This window comes from Homo sapiens, chromosome 4 (genome assembly GCF_000001405.40).
Source record: "Homo sapiens chromosome 4, GRCh38.p14 Primary Assembly".
Classification (NCBI taxonomy): Eukaryota; Metazoa; Chordata; class Mammalia; order Primates; family Hominidae; genus Homo; species Homo sapiens.
The window spans coordinates 154,281,179-154,302,113 of record NC_000004.12 but is presented as its reverse complement, the minus strand read 5'-3'; the positions used below and the strand labels follow the sequence as shown (position 1 = coordinate 154,302,113).

The 20,935-nt window shown below is 37.2% G+C and overlaps 1 protein-coding gene and 1 long non-coding RNA gene across 2 annotated transcripts in view; one reads left to right on the top strand and one right to left on the bottom strand.

The window, feature by feature from the left end:
- The window catches only part of DCHS2 (dachsous cadherin-related 2), a 260,058-nt gene that overhangs the window by 189,686 nt on the left and 49,437 nt on the right, over positions 1 to 20,935 (top strand). Inside the window, exon 13 of the mRNA NM_001358235.2 lies at positions 3,406 to 4,263. Coding sequence (NP_001345164.1) covers positions 3,406 to 4,263 — 858 coding nt within the window. The remainder of the gene's footprint in view (positions 1 to 3,405; positions 4,264 to 20,935) is intronic.
- The window catches only part of LOC101927947 (uncharacterized), a 469,997-nt gene continuing 452,356 nt past the window's right edge, over positions 3,295 to 20,935 (bottom strand). Inside the window, exon 15 of the long non-coding RNA XR_007058336.1 lies at positions 3,295 to 3,861. This is a non-coding gene — a long non-coding RNA (uncharacterized LOC101927947). The remainder of the gene's footprint in view (positions 3,862 to 20,935) is intronic.

Here is a 20,935-nt window from a genome sequence, read left to right as displayed (position 1 = left end):
AATGGACTTTTATGCTTAAAATATTGATCATTTTATTATACTTTTCTACAATTAAAATATGTGGATAAATTTAAGACTTCTAAAAATTTCCAATGAACATAAGGTCTCAGTTTTGAAAATTATATTAGATTGTTATTATTATGATTGTAAGATTAAAATAGCAAAAGTGTATTCCAATTTTGACCAATAATAACATAAAAAGTAAAATTGTGTTGTAAATGCATCTCTGAATCAGATTAATGGGTTCCTTTTTTCCAGTGAGTTCATGATTCTCGGAATGCATGTTCCTTTTTGCTAAAATAAGGCAAAGCAGCTGGGTGCAGTGGCTCACGCCTGTAATCCCACCACTTTGGGATGCCAAGGTGGGCAGATCACCTGAGGTCTGGAGTTAATTTGAGACCAGCCTGACCAACATGGAGAAACCTCGTCTCTACTAAAAATACAAAATTAGCCAGTGGCACATGCCTGTAATCCCAGCTACTCGGGAGGCTGAGGCAGGAGAATCGCTTGAACCCGGTAGGCAGAGGTTGAGGTGAGCTGAGATTGCGCCATTGCACTCCAGCCTGGGCAACAAGAACGAAACTCTGTCTCAAAAAATAAAAATAAAAATAAATAAATAAATAAATAAAAATAAGGCAAAAGGCAAAGCACAGTGCCAAGTCTGTTGCTGTTTCTCTTTGTTACAGATGTAAGAACTGAAAATCCTTGCTCACCTTTTTAAAAATGGAAGTATTGTTACAGAAGTTAATTTAGTACTTGTATGCCTTCTGAGTTATATGCCAAAAAGTTAATGAATAGTCTTTATTTTTTCTTTATCTACCACTTGAAAACTTGAATAGGCTCTATAATTTGGTTGATAGCAGAGACACTCTCCCACTGCATAAGGATATCTTCCCAGGCATTAAAATCAGTCACTGTTTTGACATTGAACTTTCAACATTGGGAATGACCACTTTATTTGGCAGCCATTTATTTGGGTGAGAGGGAGACTTTCTTTTTTAATTTGCAAGAAGAGTGCTTATAAAGGTGAATGTGGGAAAGATAAATTCCATGATCCCAGGTGAGCTCTCAGGTAGAGCAATTTTAGGAATAAGGATATTTAAATTGAACTTCTGGAGATTACCACAGAACTACCTGTTTCCAAGTGAATTCCTTAGAAAACTTCAAGTAACCTAGCTGTACTCAGCCCTCATTTTAAAGATGATTGACTGGTCTAAACACCCTTCACTTATTCGCCTAAGCCGGATCATGAATCCTTTCTCCATAACTTATTTTTTCTCCTTAATATCTTTGCAATGTGTTCACTTCCTGCACGCAAATATTGTTTCAGATACCCCTTGTTGCGCAAGTAGATTACTATGACTCCTAACCTTCCCATTTTCATTTTCTTTTCTTTTTTTTTAAAGACAGGCTCTCGATCTGTCACCAAGGCTGTGCAGTGGTGCATTCACAGCTCACCGCAGCAGCACAATCACAGCTCACTGCAGCCTGTACCCCCTGTCAGGCTCAAGCAATTCTCCCACCCCAGCCTCCTGAGCAGCGGGGAATACAGGCACATGTCACCATGCCTGAATAACTTAAAAACTTTTTTTTTTTTTTTTTTGTAGAGATGAGGTCTCACTATGTTGCCCAGGCTGGACTCAAATTCCTGGACTCAAGCAATCCTCCCGCCTTGGTCTCCAAAAGTTCTGGGATTACAGGAACCATCCTATTTTCTAAACAAACTTTGACATTGCTGCCTCGATACTATTCTTAAAATAGAAATTTGATTCATGACACTTTCCTGTCCAAAATCCTTCAGGGGGCTCCCTCATGGATTTCAGGAGAAACTATAGAATCTTCAGCAGTATACAGAGAGCCCTTCACAATTTGACCCCCTGCTTACCTCCCAAATTCATGTCTTTCCTCTACCGCTACTGCCAGCCCTTTTCCTACTTGCCACATACAAACACCCAGGAACCCTGTGTACTAGTCACACCCAAACATTTGCAGCCTGTTAATTCTTATATTCCTAGAACTTCCCACGGGCTCTTTCCTCTGCATAGAACACTCTCCCCAAAACTTGTAGTATGGCTTTCTCCACTTTAGGAGTGAGATTTGATGTCACTTTTTCCAATAAGCATTTCTTGAACTTACTAACATAGGACTATGTGCCCTTTCTCTGTACTTCTCAGAGAAATAGCACCCCTTGGCTAGCACTATCTATATGTACTCATTTAGCACTCTGTACATATGATTTTCACATGGTACTTTAATACCCGAGTATTGACCAGCCTTTCCTTTTAGACTGTGAACTCTTGGAGCTAGGTCATGTCTTACTCCCTTCATATCTGTGATCTTGAGCACAAACTTGGCACATAGTAGATGCTCATCAAATGTTTGCTGAATGACTGAATCACTTTATCAGCCACAAATACTACAGAAATGTGGGTTTGTCCAATCATCTCTACTTTTGGTGTAAATTAACTGTTCCTCATGAATACAAATGCAGGGCCCTCTCCTCCTCCCTAAAGCTACCTATTGCTGTTGTTTCCTTTGAATGCCATTCCACTTGGTCCTCATATGCCTCTGATATGCAGACTCTAGTAAGTTCCCACACTATTGGGCCTGCTCTTCATCCAAGAATATGGCTGGCAAGCATATGAACCACATTTTTCTTCACTAATTTTCAGGGTTATTTAAAAATGTCTTTGAAAGCTTTTTGTCCCTGTGTTCAATTTTAAGTTTTATTCTACTTGATACGATGGAATATAATAAAGGGCAGATTTTTTTTAAGGAATAGATGAATAGAACAATGTCCTTATTTATGTTTTGGAAGAAATAGTCAAGTGTCCAACTAACTCTAACCAAAGTGTTATGATTCTTGTACAAAATGCTGTGGACATGTAGAAGAGAAGGCTTACTGCAATAGTATAACAGGCATGAATACTGTAGTGGGTACTATTTGAGAAAATAACTACAAATCAAATCTGTTCATTTCTGATTGATATCTTAAAAAAGGACATTATATTCTGTTTTTTTTATCCTCATCTATTGTTTTGTGTTAAATAAAACATATATCTTCATCCTCTTATGAGGAAAAATATATTAAAATTAAAAGTTGTAGATGCACACAAAAAATCATACGGCTGCAAATTAGTGAAAGCAAGTGTTCTAATTATTGACTGATTAAAGATAGGCATTGAATCATATTATTCTGTTTATCCCCTCAATAGAAGTTTCATGAGGGCAGAGCCTTTATCATGCTTACTGTTATATCCCCAATATTTACAAAAGTGCTAGGATACAATATAATCGGGAATAAATATATTTTTAATGAATGTATAAATGAATACCATAGATAGTGCTAGCAAAGAGCTGCTACTTTTTCAATTCAAATGAATTTGTAATTGTTTTCTTTAATAGATGGAAATACTGATGAGTGCTTTACTATAAATGAGATGTCAGGAGAACTCTCAACCACTCGTGCTTTGGACCGGGAGCAAATCAGCAATTTTACCCTTGTCATTCTGTGCTCTGACCTGGGAGATCCACCTAGGAGCTCTGTAATACACCTGCAAGTTAGAGTTTTGGATGCCAATGACCACAGTCCTTCTTTTCCCACACTTTATTACCAGTCCTCTGTGAGAGAAGATGCTGAAGTGGGAACAGTGGTTCTTGTGCTTTCAGCTGTGGACAAGGATGAAGGCCTGAATGGGCAAACTGAGTATTTTCTGACTGATGAGGCTTCTGGTGCATTCACCATTGATCCTATGTCAGGCACATTGAAAACCAGCAACACCCTCGACCGTGAAGCCAGATCTCAGCATACATTTAGTGCTGTGGCCAGAGACTGTAGCATCCAGGGTTCACGAAGCACCACTGTAATTATAAAAGTATATGTCACTGATGTTAATGACAATGATCCAGTTTTGGAACAGAACCCTTTTGATGTGTTTCTTTCCCCCGAGTCGCCTACAAACCAGACAACTGTCATTGTGAGAGCTGATGACCTGGACTTGGGGCCCAATGGAACTGTGGTTTTTAGTTTTGCAGAGACCCAGTCAATGTTTTCTATTGATAAATACACAGGAGAAATTCAATTTCAGCAAAATCCATCTTCAGAATACTTCCCTATCTGGCTGCAGTTAAAAGTTACAGACCAGGGCATTCCAGCCAGGACAACCACGGGTCTCTTGGTCATTCACATGGAAGGAGAAGATGTAAAGATTTCCTTCAGCCACCACCTGTATAAAGGGCTCGTGACTGAAAATTGTGAGGCAGGTGAGTGTCCCTTCAAGTTTTTCATATATTGTACCTGTTTTGACAAAATGCTTAAGAGTACGGATTATACTACAAGAGTGCCATTGCGCATTCAGTTATACATTTTTTAGTTCAATGCCTGTTCTTGATATTGGAATAAACATGGTTAAGTGGAACCTGGTCTGAGATGAAATGACAGGGCAGAAGACAGTGAGGACCAAATTCCTTCTGACCTCTAAAGGAGGGCCCTCCCATTAAAGATTCAGTTAGAAAAGCTAATGAATAAGTGGATGGGGAGCCTTCAATCTGATATTCTTACTGTGTTTTCCTGACCTCTTGTCAGAGTTGTTCTTAGTTCCCTTATGTTTGGAATTACTTAATTAAATTTAGCTTTTATCTTTTTAATAGAACTTACTCTGAAAATTCCTTTATTAAATATTACACATAAAAAAGCCTATAGATACTTCTGGAAATAATATAAGCATGTGGTATCCATAAATATCCAGGTAGGTGTACATGTCAAGACATCTGAAGCAATAGGTTGGGACCTCTCTTTGAAGAGCAAATATAACGTGTGAAGGGCATAAGTCTAAATTGAGAGGCGAACTAAAAGTTGCAGGTGTAACAGGAAAGAGGCAAAAGGAAAGGATGACAGTTAAGGAAGCTGTTGAAGCTGACTAGATGTAATTAATCCACACCTGGGTCAGCAGGGTTTCTTGGGCCCCTGTGAAAAATAATGACAACATCATAAAATATTGATTGACATTTCAAGCTGGCTGATGCTTTGCTTGGAACATGAACTCATTACAAACTGCCAGATCATATTTTAGACACCAGAAGATTATTTTTCCTCGTTTGTTCATTTTTTGCTTTCAAATTCCCAAATTCTAGTGGTTTTAAAAGATTGTAAATCCACCTACCAGTGTTGGAATAGCCTTGATATAAATTATTTAATAACATTTTATAGCTGCCAGCGTTATTTTCTCCCCAAATACGCCTGCAATTTTAACCTTTATTTTCAAATGAAAAATAGATGCCTATCGGAAGCTTAAGTTTTCTGTGGGCCACTCACACATTTGATCTATGAGTAGGCACCACTTGTCATCCTGAGTGAATTATTTTTGGTATTATTATACATTTTCATCACTCCAAACTGCTTTTAACATTTTCTTATTCTTTTAAGAAAACAAAAAATTAAAAGTTAAAACAAATAACTCCAGTGTATTGTTATTTGTTTAACATTTCTTTGTTGGAAAGCCCACAGGTTCAGCTTTTGATTAACATTGCATTCATCTATTAACATTATTAAACTTAACATCTCAATTGTTTAAAATAATGTATAGTTTCTATTTTCAAATCAGTCTTTTGGTTGGTAAAAGTTCTTTAAGAGTCAGTCATTAAATGTTCACTTAATCGTAGGAAGAGGCACTCAGAATTTCTGGTAAGACACAGGCTGGCCCCACAGCAGTGTGACAAGAAAAGTTAACCAAGTGACTCCCCGCTCTTTACTGTGAATGCCACCCCTCCTGACTACCCCTCCACCCCTCGCATTTCCAAGCCAGATTAGAGAAAACGTAACTGTTCTGAATCTCTTTAAAAGTTAAGGATAAACCACTTGGTTGCCCACGATGTTTAACTCAACTAAACAATTTAAATGAATCTCCTAGAAACCAGCTTTTATTTCTTCGGTTTCATTTCCGGTGCTTTGATTGTCATGATAAGAATGAATCAGCAATCATAGTCCATGATGTGGACTATTCACAACTTCATGCATTTCATTGACTTGCCAGGAGGGGAGAAATTGAAATTATGAATGATATTGATACCCCGATTAAAAGTAAATACTCAGACTTTGAAAATGAAATAAAATTAAAACTGATGACATATGGGAGGACTCTCACTAGTAAAATGTATTTACTATTGTACAATACATAAATTAGATCTTGATGTTTTGAAGGAAAAACCCTTCTTCCAGCCCTTTGGCAGTTGATCTGTTGAATTCAGGCTCCACTCTTGGTAAGGCTGGGCACATGTGTGTTAGAGTGTGAAACTCATGACACCAGTTAATGTAGTTGAGTGGGTCGGCCTCTGTGATGGCTCTACTGGGCATATTCTCTTTGATGACTTCCTCACAGGGATACTGTAAAGATTAAGTTTTAAGAGGATACTAGTCATTGCTTTCTTTGGTTGTTATTTTTGTTATCTTTCTGTCCCAAATCTATGAATTTCATAAAGTTACTTGGGTATAAATTCTCACCAGAGCAACCAGTTGTTACATAACAATTATATTACAACAATGAACTAGTGGTTGTTAGGGGCCTACGGTATGTCTTTTTTTGTCTTCAAACCAGATAAGAACGATACTTTCCAAGGAGATGAATTTCTCCATAAACACAGTGTTATTCTCGGCTTTGGAATGTATGAATGTTTCCACATATGAATTCCTATGATAATGAAAGAGGGAAGCACATGTTATCTGTCATTGCTATTTTGTTATTTAGGGACTGTCTCTTGTTTTATTATAAATTCATTGGAATGAGCATTATCTAACTAGGCATCTAAAATGGTATGGAATTTAATCATTTGACTTATGACTCCAAGTTAGCTGTAGGGAAGGAAGATAGAGAAACGTCTTATTCTCAGAAGAGGGTACGTACTTCACAAAGCAGTTTTTATCTTTGCAAATTCACCCAAGTCCCACATCTGGCCCTCAGCCATACAGGCACAAGACATCATTTGATTAACTCACCAAGGATTTCCTTTCCCCAGGGGTGGGAATTTATTCACCAATATGAAAGAGACTGATATATACACCATGACAGTTTTGTTATTTATTTGGTGAGCTGTGATTGTTATGTGGATTACAGTAGTCATATTGGAATGACCAGTTTTCTCTTTCTAGGAATAAAAGACACAAGAAGCGAAGTTGTAAACAGAAAGTTGCTTGCTAATCCTCAACAATTAGGAGTAGGATGTCATTCAAGTGTTGAGTGTCATCAGCCTACATTACTCTTTCCTCAGGCAGAGCTTACCCAGCCCTGCCAAGTCAGATTTTATGATGCCTTCATTGACTGCCTGGGCTTCCATTACTCACCAATTTCCTTTTGATTTACACATTCCCTGTTGGTGTTTTAACACCTCTGTCAAGGCTCGGCCCTGGAAGCCACTTATGATTTTTTATGATGATTTTGCATAACACTGTTCTGAACTGTTGTACTTTGTTTATAAATGTAAAGGGTTAATATTTTGGAACTATATTAATACTCTTCTGTTGCCTATCTGTAGATAAGACCTTCCACCTATTCTACAAAACACATCCATTTGCTGCGGATAGCATTAGGATTATTATAGCAGGAGTACAAAGAGAGGATATTCTGCCTTTGATAAACAAAATACTGAGTGGGGCTCATAAAAAATATTAGATCAAGCATCAAGAAATCAACTAATTTTGTGTGCATATCAGCTGTACTGTTTAAAACTGTAACTCTGCTTCATACATCTTTAACTATTGAAGGACACTCATCAATATTCCTGAGGATACCCCTCACAGTTTTTCTCCTTCCCCAACATACTTCCTATTATATGTTGACTATATATTTGATATATTATATACAATATTCAATTTTAAGAAGCCTTGAACATCTATTCATTTAGTCTCTTAAAAGGTGGTTTTGATGATCAAATGAGCACTTTGTAATCTCTAAAGCATTTCACCATCATGATTACCAGTAGTTATAAGTCTAAGATATGAAGATGAAAGTGCAGCCAGACCCTGTGGATAGCAGAGCTAGAGGATATTTGCTCCTAGTGGGTATTCCCCAAATGTCTGTTGATATCATTTTACCATTTAACCATTACTTCTAAGATAACAAAAGGCATATATATGCACAAATGAGGAAAAAAAAACTCATGGGGTAAGAGGGAAGGGTCGGGGAGATAGTTGTGCCAGGCAGTGGAAATGTCATGCACAAAGCTTGGGGCCTCCACAGGGTGTGGTGAGTTGACCCCGCGACCAAGCGTCTCATCTGGAATAGCTGGAGAGCAGCGTGCACAGAGCCTCATGTGCTTTCCAGTGATAATTTGGAAGAGAGAGACATTGATGGCCTTTAAATTATCAAAATCAAACTTGACGTTGTAGAAAGCTCACTTTGGAAGCTGTGTGGAGTGTACCCTGGAGGAGAGAAATGAGTTAGGAGGATACTGTGGTGATTTATGTGATAATGACCCAGGCCTGAAGAAAGCCACAGCAGTGAGGGATGATAAGGAGGAATGTGCTTCTCACGTGTTTCCAAGACAGCCTCAATGAGGCCTGGGGGTTGTTTATACCTGAGGTTCTCAACCAGGACTACACATCGAAATACCAAGGGAGATTTAAAAAGTTCCTAATACCGGCCGGGCGCAGTGGTTCACGCCTGTAATCCCAGCATTTTGGGAAGCCGGGGTGGGTGGATCACCAGAGGTCAGGAGTTTGACACCAGCCTGACCAACATGGAGAAACCCCATCTCTACTAAAAATACAAATAATTAGCCGGGCATGCTGACGCTTGCCTGTAATCCGGGAGAATCGCTTGAACCTGGGAGGCAGAGGTTGCGGTAAGCCAAGATCACGCCATTGCACTCCAGCCTGGGCAACAAGAGCGAAACTGCGTCTCAGAGAAAAAAAAAAATCGAATACCTGGATATCCACCCCTTTCCCGCATCCAGTTAAATGGTAATCGTTGAAGGTAGAGCACACATTGTTTATTTGTAGAAGCTCCCATGCGATTCCAATGTGCAGCCAAGGGTGAAGGAAGAGGGAGGGCTGAGAAGAAAATCTAAAGTAACATCAATATTTTACAGGAGTTGATCAAATAATGTATCTAAAAAGGAGATTGAGTTGGAGGGCTAGGGTGATAGTGACAATTCCCAGGAGGATGGTGTTAGAGAAACAAGAAAGTGGCACATTTAAGAAACGGGGCGGTCAACCATATTTAATATAGAGCAGGGGCTAGGTAAGATAGAGATGGAAAAATGGCTACTGGTTCACCTGGGTGCCTGTCCCAAAAGCAGAAGTAAGTGAGGTAGTGGGCTGCCACCTGCTGGGAGTGGGGCTACAACTCACTGAGTCCCTGGGCTTGGTTGAGTTGGGAACAGCATTACCTGAGATGTTCTGGGGATGACATCTTGGTATCAGGAGGTATGAACATGGGAGAAAGGAAGGCATGTCTGAAATAACAAGTCCATGTGTTAAATATAGAGGATAAGACAATAAAGGAATGGCACTAAAAGCAAAATAAGGTGCTTGGAGAGTCTAGAGAGGAGTAAGTTTGCTCTGTTGAAGTAGTTTAGGATTTGGGCCAAGAATAGATACCAGCAGCCCAGGCTTTCTAATGTGAATTCTGGAGTCAGCTGTGGCTTCTTATAGGAATTCTTCATAGCTAAATGGAACAACTTGGGAGGGAATTGGGATTTTGGGAGTGGACTAATTCCATAGAGATTTATTTTAAAAGCCAGAATATAGTGAAGTGCAGAGTGAAAAAGTGAAATCAGTCCCTGAAATCAGACAAAGACATCAGTTTATTTGTCACAAGCTTTTCCTATGAAGGGAAAGAAAGGAAAGTGGCAATAGCTTGAAGAACCCTGAAGAATCAGAGGATTATTTTGTTATGTTTCTGAAAGCAGAAACAGGTTTGGGTATTTGTGATTTATAGCACTGGAAAATTTACAAGAAACTTTCATTATTTTTTATTATAGAAAATTTGTTTTTTTACATTTCAAAAAATTTTAATTTTTAATTTATGCAGGTATGTAGTAGGTATATATATTTATGGGTTATGTGAAATATTTTGATACAGGCATGCAATGTGTAATAATCACATCAGGCTAAATGGAGTATCCATCTCCTCAAGCTTGTATACTTTGTGTTGCAAACAATCCAGTTATACTCTTAGCTAATTTTACATGTACAATAAATTATTGTTGACGGTAGGAACCCTGTTGTGCTATCAAATACTAGACCTTATTCATTCTATCTGACTATATTTTTGTACCCATTCACCATTACCACTTCCCCTCTAACCTCCCACTACCCTTCCCAGCTTCTGGTAACCATCCTTCTTCTCTGTATTTCTATGAGTTCAATTATTGTAATTTTTAGCCCCTACAAATAAGTGAGAACATGTGAAGTTTTTCTGTCAGTGCCTGGCTTATTTCACTTAACATAATGACCTCCAGTTCCATCCATGTTGTTGCAGATGACTGGGTCTCATTCTTTTTTTATGGCCGGATGCTACTCTATTGTGTATATGTACCACATTTTCTTTATCCGTTCAGCTGTTGATGGACACTTAAGTTGCTTCCAAATCTTGGCTATTGTGAACAGTGCTGCAATAAACATAGAAGTGCAGATATCTTCAATGTACTGATTTTCTCTCTTTTAAGTATATAACCTAACAGTGCAATTGCTGGATCATATGATAGCTCTATTTTTAGGTTTTTGAGGTACCTTCACACTGTTATTTATTTATAGTGGTTGAGCTAATTTACATTCCCACCAACAGCGTATAAGGATTCCCCTTTCTCAACATCCTCACTAGCATTTTTTTTTTCCTGTCTTTTGGATATAAGTCATTTTAAATGAGATGAGATGATATTTCACTGTAGTTTTTTGATTTGCATTTCTCTGATAATCAATGGTGTTGAGCACCTTTTCTTATACCTGTTTGCCATTTATATGTATTCTATTGAGAGATGTCTATTTGGGTGTTTTGCCCATTTTTTAATCGGATTATTAGATTTTCTTCCAAAAAGTTATTTGAGCTTCTTACACATTCTGGTTATGAATCCCTTGTCAGATAGATAGTTTGCAAGTATTTTCTCCCTTCAGTGGGTTGTCGCTTCACTTTTCTGATTCTTTCCTTTGCAATGCAGAAGCTTTTTAACTTGATATGATCTCATTTTTCTGTCTTTGCTTTGGTTGTCTGTGTTTGTGGGGCACTACTCAAGAAATCTACTCCCACTCCAATTTCCTAGAGCGTTTCCCCAATGTTTTCTTTTAGCAGTTTTATAGTTTGAGGTCTTAAGTTTAAATCTTTAATCCATTTTGATTTAATTTTTGTATGTGGTGAGAGGTAGGGGTCTAGTTTTATTCTTTTGCACATGGATATACAGTTTTTCCAGCACCATTTGTTGAAGAGACTGTTCTTTCTCCAGTGTATGTTCTTGGCAACTTTGTGAAAAATGAGTTCACTGTAGATGTCTGGATTTGTTTCTGGATTCTCTATTCTGTTTCATTGGTTTATATGTTTGTTTTTATGCCAGAACCATGCTGTTTTGTTACTATAGTTTTGTAGTATAATTTGAAGCCAGGTAATGTGATTCCCTTTGTTCTGTTCTTTCTGCTCAGGATAGCTTTGACTATGATGGGTCTTTTATGATTTCATATAAATTTTAGATTTTTTCTATTTCTATGAAGAACGTCATTGGTATTTTAGTAGGGATTGCATTGAATCTTTAGGTTGCTTTTGATAGTATGGACATTTTAAAAATAGTGATTCTTCAATCCATGAACATGGAATATCTTTTCCTTTTTTGTGAAGCCTCCTCAATTTTTTTCATCAATCTTTTATACTTTTCATTGCAGAAGTCTTTCACTGCTTTGGTTAAGTTAATTCCTAGGTATTTTATTTTATTTGTAGCTATTGTAAATGAGATTACTTTCTCGTTTCTTTTTCATATTGTTTGCTGCTGGCATGGCAATATGCCATGAATTTTTGTAGGTTGATTTCGTATTCTGCAACTTCACTGAATTTGTTTATCAGTTCTAATAGTTTTTTGGAGGAGTCTTTAGGTTTTTCCAAATATAAGATCATATCATCTGCAAACAAGAATAATTTGACTTTTTCCTTTCCAATTTGGATGTCCTTTATTTCTTTCTCTTGTCTGATTGCTCTGTTTTGCTGAGGTATGTTTCTTCTATACCCAGTTTGTTGAAGGTGTTTATCATGAAGGGATGTTGAATTTCATCAAATGCTTTTTCAGCATGAATTGAAATAATCATATGGTCCTTTATTTTGTTGACATGATGTATCACATCCATTGGTTTATGTAAGTTGAACCATCCTTGCATCCCTGGGATGAATCCCACTTGGTCATGATGAATGATCTTCTTAATGTGTTGTTGAATTGGTTTGCTAGTATTTTGTTGAGGATTTTTACATCAGTGTTCATCAGAGATATGGCCTTTACTTTTCTCTTTTTTTGATGTCTCTTAGTCTGATTTTGGTACGAAGATAATAATGACCTGGTAGAATGAGTTTGGTAGTATTCTCTCTTGCTTTATTTTTTGGAATACTTTGAGTGTGATAGGTGTTAGTTCTTCTGTAAATGTTTGGTAAAATTCAGCAGTAAAGTCATCAGGTCCTGGGATTTTCTTTGCTGGGAGACTTTTTATTACAGCTTTGATCTCATTACATATTATTGGTCTGTTCAGGCTTTGGATTTCTTTATAGTTCAATATTGGTAGGTTATATGTGTCTATGAATTTATCCATTTATTCTATGTTTTCTAATTTATTGGTGTATAATTGTTCATAGTAGCCACTAATGATCCTTTAAATTTATGTAGTATCTGTCGGAATGCCTTCTTTTTCACCTCTGATTTTATTTATTTAGGTCTTCTCCCTTTTCTTCTGAGTCTGGCTAAAGGTTTGTTGATTTTGTTTATCTTTTCAAAAAGCCAATTTTTTGTTTCATTGATCTTTGTATTGTTTTCTTCATTTAAGTTTCATTTATTTCTGTTCTGATCTTTGTTGTTCTGATCTTTGTTATTTCTTTTCTGCTACCAATTTTGAGTTTGTTTTGCTCTTGCTTTTTTAATTCTTTAAGATGCATTGTTAGATTGTTTATTTGACATTTTTCTACTTTTTTGATGTAGGCACTTACAGCTATAAACTTTACTCTTTGTACTGCTTTTGCTGGATCCCATACGATTTGCTATTTTGTCTTTCCATTATCGTTTGTTTCAAGAAATGTTTAAATTTTCTTTTAAATTTTTCCATTGAATCACTGGTCATTCAGGAGCATATTGTTTAATTTTCATGTGTCTGTATAATTTCCAAAATACTTTTTGTTATTGATTTCTAGTTTTATTCCTTTGCAGTCAGAGAAGATACTTTATATAATTTTAATTATTGTCAATATTTTGTCAAGACTTGTTTTGCAGCCTAACATATGGTCTGTCCTTGAGAATGATCCATGTGCTGAGGAGAAGAATGTGTATTCTCCATCCATTTCATTGGATGAAATGTTCTGTAAATATCTATTGGGTCCATTTGATATATGGTGCCTATTAAGTTCAATATTTCCTTGTTGATTGTCTGTCTGGATGATATATCCAATGCTGAATGTGGAGTGTTGAAGTCTTCAGCTATTATTGTACTGGGGTCAATCTCTCTTTAGGTCTAATAATATTTTCCTTATATATCTGGGTCCTCCAGTGGTGGGTGCATATATATTTACAAACATTATATCCTTTTGCTGAATTGATTCATCATTGCATAATGACCTTCCTTGTCTATATAGTTTTTGTGTTGAAATCTATTGTATATGATATAAATATAGCTACTTTTTCTCTTTTTTGTTTCCATTTGCATGGAGTATCTTTTTCCAGCTCTTTATTTTCAGTCTGTGTGTCTCTTCATAGGTGAGGTGTGTTTCTAGTAGGCAAAAGACCATTGTGTCTTCTTCTTATATCCATTTAACCATACTATGTCTTTTGATTGGGGAGTTTAGTCCAGTTACATTCAGTGTTATTATTGCTAAGTAAGGATTTACTCCTGCCATTTTGTTATTTGTTTTCTGATTGTCTTAGAGTCTTCTCTTCCCTTTTTCTTATCTTCCTGACTTCGTTTTAGTGAAGGCGGTTTTCTCTGGTTGTGTATTTTAATTTCTAGCGTTTTTGTTTTCATTGTATATTTTTTGATTTGAGGTTACCATGCGGCTTGCAAATAATATCTCATAACTTATTATTTTAAACTGATGATAACTTGGCACCGAATGCATAAACAAACAATCAACCAAACAAAGAGAAAACTAATAAAGACTACACTTTAGGCAGGGTGCTGTGGCTCACATCTATAATCCCAGGATGTCAAGAGGCTGAGGCAGGTGGATCACTTGAGGCCAGGAGTTCATGACCAGCCTGGCCAACATGATGAAACCCATCTCTACTTAAAGAAATAGAAAAATTAGCCAGGTATGGTGCACATACCTGTAATCTCAGCTACTTGGAAAGCAGAGGTACAAGTATCACTTGAATCTGGGAGGCGGAGTTTGCAGTGAGCCAAGATCATACCACTGCACTCCAACCTGGGAGACAGAGTAAGGCTCCTTATCAAAAATTTTTAAAGAAGACTATACCTTAACTTTGCTCCCTCACTTTTCAACTTTTTGTTGTTTCTATCTTATTGTACTGTCTTGACTATGTCTTGAAAAGTTGTTGTAGTTATTATTTTTGGTTGGTTCATTGTTTAGTCTTTCTACTTAGAACAAGAATAGTTTACACACCACAGTTACAGTGTTATAATATTCTGTGTTTTTCTGTGTACTATTACCAGTGAGTTTTGTACCTTAAGATGATTTCTTATTACTCATTAATGTCCTTTTCTTTCTGATTGAAATACTCCCCATAGGATTTCTTGTAAGACAGGTCTGGTGTTGATGAAATCCCTCAGCTTTTGTTTGTATGGAAAAGTCTTTATTTCTCCTTCATATTTGAATGATATTTTCACTGAGTATGGTATTCTAGGATAAAAGCTTATTTCTTCCAGAACTTTAAATATGTCATGCCACCCTCTCTTTTCCTGTAAGGTTTCCACTGAAAAGTCTACTTCCAGATGTATTGGAGCTCCACTGCATGTTGTTTCTTTTCTTGGGCTGCTTTTAGGATCCTTTCTTTATCCTTGACATTTGGGAGTTTATTAAATGCCTTGAGGTAGTCTTCTTTGGGTTAAAACTGCTTGGTGTTCTATAACCTTCTTATACTTATATATTGGTATCTTTCTCTAAGTTTGAGGAGTTCTCTGTTATCATCCCTTTGAATAAACTTTGTACTCTTACCTCTTTCTCTACTTTCCCTTTAAGGCCAATAATTCTTAGATTTGCCCTTTTGAGGCTATTTTCTAGATCTTGTAGATGTGCTTTCTTCTTTTTCATCCTTTTTTCTTTTGTCTCCTCTGTTTATTTTCAAATAGCCTGCCTTCAAGCTCACTAATTCTTTCTTCTGCTTGATCTGTTCTGTTGCTTAGAGACTGTAATGCATTCTTAAGTATGTCAATTGTATTTTCCAACTCCAGAATTTCTGCTTGAATTTTTTCAATTACTTCAATCTCTTTGTTAAAGTTATCCAGTAGGATTCAGAACTCCCTCTCTGTGTTATCTTGAAATTCTTTGAGTTTTTGCAAAACAGCTGTTTTGAATTCTCTGTCTGAAAGGTCACCTATCTCAGTTTCTCCAGGATTTGTCCCTGGTGCCTTATTTAGTTCATTTGGTAAGGTCATGTTTTCCTGGATGGTACTGATGCTTATGGATGTTCTTCAGTGTCTGCATATTGAAGAGTAGGTATTTATTGTAGTCTTTGCCATCTAGGTTGTTTGCATCTCTTCTTCTTGGCAAGACTTTCCAGGTATTCGAAGTGACTTTGGTGTTGTGATCTAAGTTTTTGGTCACTGCAGTCATATCTGCATTAGGGGGTTCCTAATGCAGAGGCACCACCTTGGTGGTCCTGGATATAACCCAGAAGAATTATCTTGATTACCAGGCAGAGACTCTTGTTCTCTTCTCTTCCTTCCTTCCAAACAAATTCTTTTGCTCTGTGCTGAGCTGCCTGAAGCTGTGGAAGGAGTGACCCAAGAACCCCTGTGACCACCACCACTGGGACTGCACTGGGTCATACCTGAAGCCAGTACAGCACTGGGTCCCCTTGAAGGCCTATAGTAACCACTGCCTTGCTACCAGCTATGTTCACTCAAGGCCCCAGGGCTCTACAGTGGATGTTGAAGCCAGCCGAGCTTGTGTCCTTTCCTTCATGGCAGTGAGTTCCCCTGAAGCCTAGGAGTGTACAGAGATGTCATCAGAAAGTCAGGACTCCTGACACATCTACCTGGTGCTCTATTCTACTGCAACTGAGCTGGCACCCAAGCCACAAGACAAAAGTCCTTCCTATTCTTCCCCCAGCTTTTCTACAAGCATAAGAGTCTCTCTCATATGGCCACCACCACTCCAGGCCCATGAGGAATACTGTCTGGCTACTGCTAATGTTCACTCAAGGCCAAAGGAATCTTTACTCAGCTTGTGATGAATATTGCCAGGCCTGGAACTCTCCCTTCAAGGCAGTAGGCTCCCCTCTGCCTTGGGGCAGTTCAAGAAATGCTGTCCAAGAGCCAAGGCCCGGAATCAATGATCCTAAGAGCCCACTTGGTGCTCTGTCCCACTGTGGCTGAGCTGGTACCTAAACTGCAAGACAAAGTCCCCTTTCCCCTTCCCTCTCTTTTTCTCTAGCAGAAAGGGTCTCTCCCCATAGCCACCACATCTGGGAATATGCTGGGTCACACATGAAGCCAGCACATCTCTGAGTCTCGCCCAGGGTTCATGGTGAGTACTCCTGGCTACCAAGGAGTACTTCAGGGCCCAAGGGCTCTTTCATTAGCAGGTGGTGAATCTTGTCAGGACTAGGTATTTGCCTTAAAGATAGCAGGTTTCTTTCTGGCCCAGGGTGTGTCTAGAAATGTTGTCTGGGAGCTAGGGCTTGGGATGGGGGCCTCAGCACTCTGCCTAATGCCCTATCATACTGTGGCTGAGCTGGTATCCAAGTTGCAAGACAAAGTCTTCTTTACTCTTCCCTCTCCTCTGCTCAAGTGGAAGGAAAGAGTCTGTCCTGGAGTTATAAGCTGTGCTGCCTGGGGTTAGGGGAGGGGTGGTGAAAGTACTCCCTTGGCCACCCCAGTTGGTGTCTCAGTAGGTCATGTGCTCCCCGAAGTCCACTGGCTTCAAGCCCCGCACAATTCCTTATCCAGGAATTGTGGTCCTTGTGGCCTAGACAAACTTTCCAGAGCTCTTTAGCCTGCAGTGGCAAGGCTTGCTGGAATTCAGGTTCCAACTGCTGAGACAGGAGATTCCCCTATCACCAGGGTTGGATTAAATGTTCCCTCCATGGGAGCTGGCTGAGTTCTGCCCAGTGTTGCTTTGTGCTGTGACAGGACAGCACTGAGTTCCAATGCAGAGTCCCACAATCACCATGCTCACCCTCTCCCAAGTGCACAGATTCTCTCTCTTCAGCACATGGCCACTGCCAGGAGATGGGGAAGGTGGGGTTGTATTCAATTCAAGACTGTCCCTACACTCCTCAGTGCCTCTTTTGGTGATATGAAGTAAAAACCAGGTACTGTGATTGCTCACCTGATTTTTGGTTCTTATGAAGGTCCTTTTTTGTGTAGATAATTGTTCAATTTTGTTTCCCTGTTGGGAGGACAATCTGGGGAGACTTCTATTTTGCCATCTTGCTCAACCTCCTTATTAATATTTAAGTCAAAAATAGAATAAAACATTTGGTAGAAATAACAGGATTTTATTTTTGTTTTTAATTGGCGTCTATTGTTTGTGGATGTCTGAAGCCTGATTTTAGATTATTTTGAGGATAAAAATGCTGTTTTCATGAAGAGCTGCTGCAACAATCATTGAATTATGGAAATACTGTAGTGTAGTTTTTATTATTTGGCAACTAAAAACATCTTAAAAGGCATTTCTTTAAGTGAAGTGTAACTGTACATTTTGGTAGATACATTTACCTTGTTTTTTGAGATAATTGGAAATGTTCTGGGTTATCTCAAAACCAAAGTTGAGAATTACTCACATAGAAAAATTATGCAACCTTTCTTTCTGAACACATGCAGGCTCTGGATTCTAGCTTGATCTGGAGTTCTGGGAGCTGGAAAGGATAATGAGGATGGCTCCTGAAAATTCAGGGAATCTAAAGTCTGAGTGTCAACTTTGGGATGACAGCCCATACAAGAAATGGTTGGGAAGTGAGGGAAAATTGGCAGCACCAGGTCCACAATCAAGATGTTGACTCTGATCCAACACTGAAGCAGCAGTGAAAATTCTCAAACTCATGTCTTAAATACAGTCTTCTGTAAATCACAAAATTAGAGATATAGTTGGAACATCTAGGGATCATTTTAGCACCTGCCTTTCTCTAAGTTGCTATGTGTGCATTTTTAAATAATTAAGTGCAACAATTTATAATCACTTCTTTGAAAGTTGCCTCATTAAAATCTATAATCCTATTAAAAATCTATTTCAGACTTAATCAATTGTGTTTACTTCTCATTGCATGCATTAACTTTATTTTGGTTTATCTGCACATCTTTTTTTTTTTTTTGCTTAAACTTATAAAAAAATAAGCAGTTTTCTGGCTTCTCTATTATTTCTTTAGGTGTTCACAAAAGCAAATAAGTTTAAGAATGTATACCATTTTCATTTTAAAGCATGATTTTCACCTATCCACAAATTTTGGAAAATTATTTCTTTTGAGCATACATTTTCCATGCTTTGTCTCACATCAGGAGTGATTTTTTTAAAAAGCCTTAGTAATGGTTCAGCCATTTTTAATGATAGGAAGGTGGTAGAAAAAAATCAATGCATTTCTTCTTTTTTTATTGTGTTAAAAACACATAACATAAAATTTACCATCTTGATTATTTCTAAGTCTACGACAGTGTTAACTGTGTGCACATTGTTACACAACAGATCTCTAGATATTTTTCATTTTGTAAAATTCAAATTGTGCCCACCAAGCTATTTTCTTCTGCCCCCTCCACCAACCCTTAGCAAATGCCATTCTACTTTCTGTTTCTAAGAGTCTATTTAAATACTTCATATAAGTGGAATCAGACAGTATTTGTTTTTGTAACTGGCTTATTTCACATAATGTCATTAAGCTTTATCCATTTTGTAGCATATAACAGGATTTTCATTTCCTTCTTTTTAAAGGCCAAATAATATTTCATTGAATGTATATACTACGTTTTGGCTATCCATTCATTCATTGAGGGACATTTAGGTTGCTTTTACCTCTCATTTATTATTTTTAAAAATGCTGCAAGGAACATGAGTATGCTAATATCCCTTTGAGATCCTGTTTTCAATTCTTGGGGATATATATCCTGAAGTGGAATTGCTGGATCATAAAGTAATTCTATTTTTAATTTTTTGAGGAACCTCTGTACTATGTTCCATAGTGGGCTGCACCATTTTACATTCCCAGCAACAGTGCACAAAGGTTCCAATTTCTCGACATCCTTGTCAACATTTGTTATTTTCTGTTTTTTTTTTAATTTTTGATATAAAATAAATGCCATCCTAATGGGTATAAGGTAATATCTTGTGGTTTTGATTTTTACTTCCCTGATATTTAATGATATTGACCGTTTGGATATCGTCTTTGGAGAAATGTTTGTTCAAGTCCTTTGTTCATTTTTAATCAGGTTATTTGCTTTTGTTCTCTTGTTTATTTGCAAGAGTTATTTATATACTATGGATATTAACCTCTCATCAGATATGTGGCTTGCAACTATTTTCTCTTATTATATAAGTTCCCTTTTTAATCTGTTCATTGTTTCCTGTGCTGTGAAAAAGCTTTCAGTTTGATATACTCCTATTTGTCTATTTTTTTGCTTTTGTTGCCTATGCTTTTGGTCTTATATCCAAAGAATGAATCATTGCTAAATTAAATATCATGAAGCTCTCCTCCTATATTATATTAATTTTGGAGTTTCAGCTCTTACATTTAAGTCTCTAATCCATTCTGAGTGGATCTTTGTAGATTGTATAAGAAAAGGGTCCAACTTCAGTATTTCATATGTGGATATTCAGTTTTCCAAGCACCATTTGTTGAAGATACTATTCATACCCTATTATGTAACCTTGGCACCCTTATTGAAGTTCATTTGATCATATACATGTGGGTTTATTTCTAGGCCTTATATTCTGTTCCATTAGTCTATATGTCTGTCTTTATTCCAGTATCATACATTTTGATTGGTGTAGCTTTGTAAACTGTTTCGAAGTCAGTAAGTATGAAGCCTCTAGCTTTGTTTTACTTTCTCAAGATTATTTTGACTATTCAGGGTCCTTTGACATTCCATATTTATTTTAGGGTAGCTTATACGAACTCTACAAAAAATGACATTGAAGATTTGGTAGGGATTGAATTGAATCTGTAGATTCCTTTTGATACTATGGTCACTTTAACAATATTGTCTTCCATTTCATAAACATGGAATGGTTTTCCATTTATTTGTGACTTCTTTGATTTCCTTCAGTAATGTTTTGAAATTTTCAACGTATTAATATTTTACCTCATTGATTAAGTTTATTCTTAAGTATTTTATTTTGTTTGATGATGTTGTAAATGGTATTGTTTTTCTAATTTTCTTTTCAGATTGCTTATTGTTACTGGATAGAAACACAACTAATATTTGCATATTGATTTTTGTATCCTGCAACTTTGCTGAATTTGTTTATTAGTTTTTCTTGTGGGATCTTTAGGGTTTTACACATACAGGATTATGTCGTCTGCAAAGATAATTTTACTTTGTTTTTCTTTTTAGTTTGCATGCATTTTTTTTCTTCTTCTTCTTTCTCTTGTCTAATTGCTC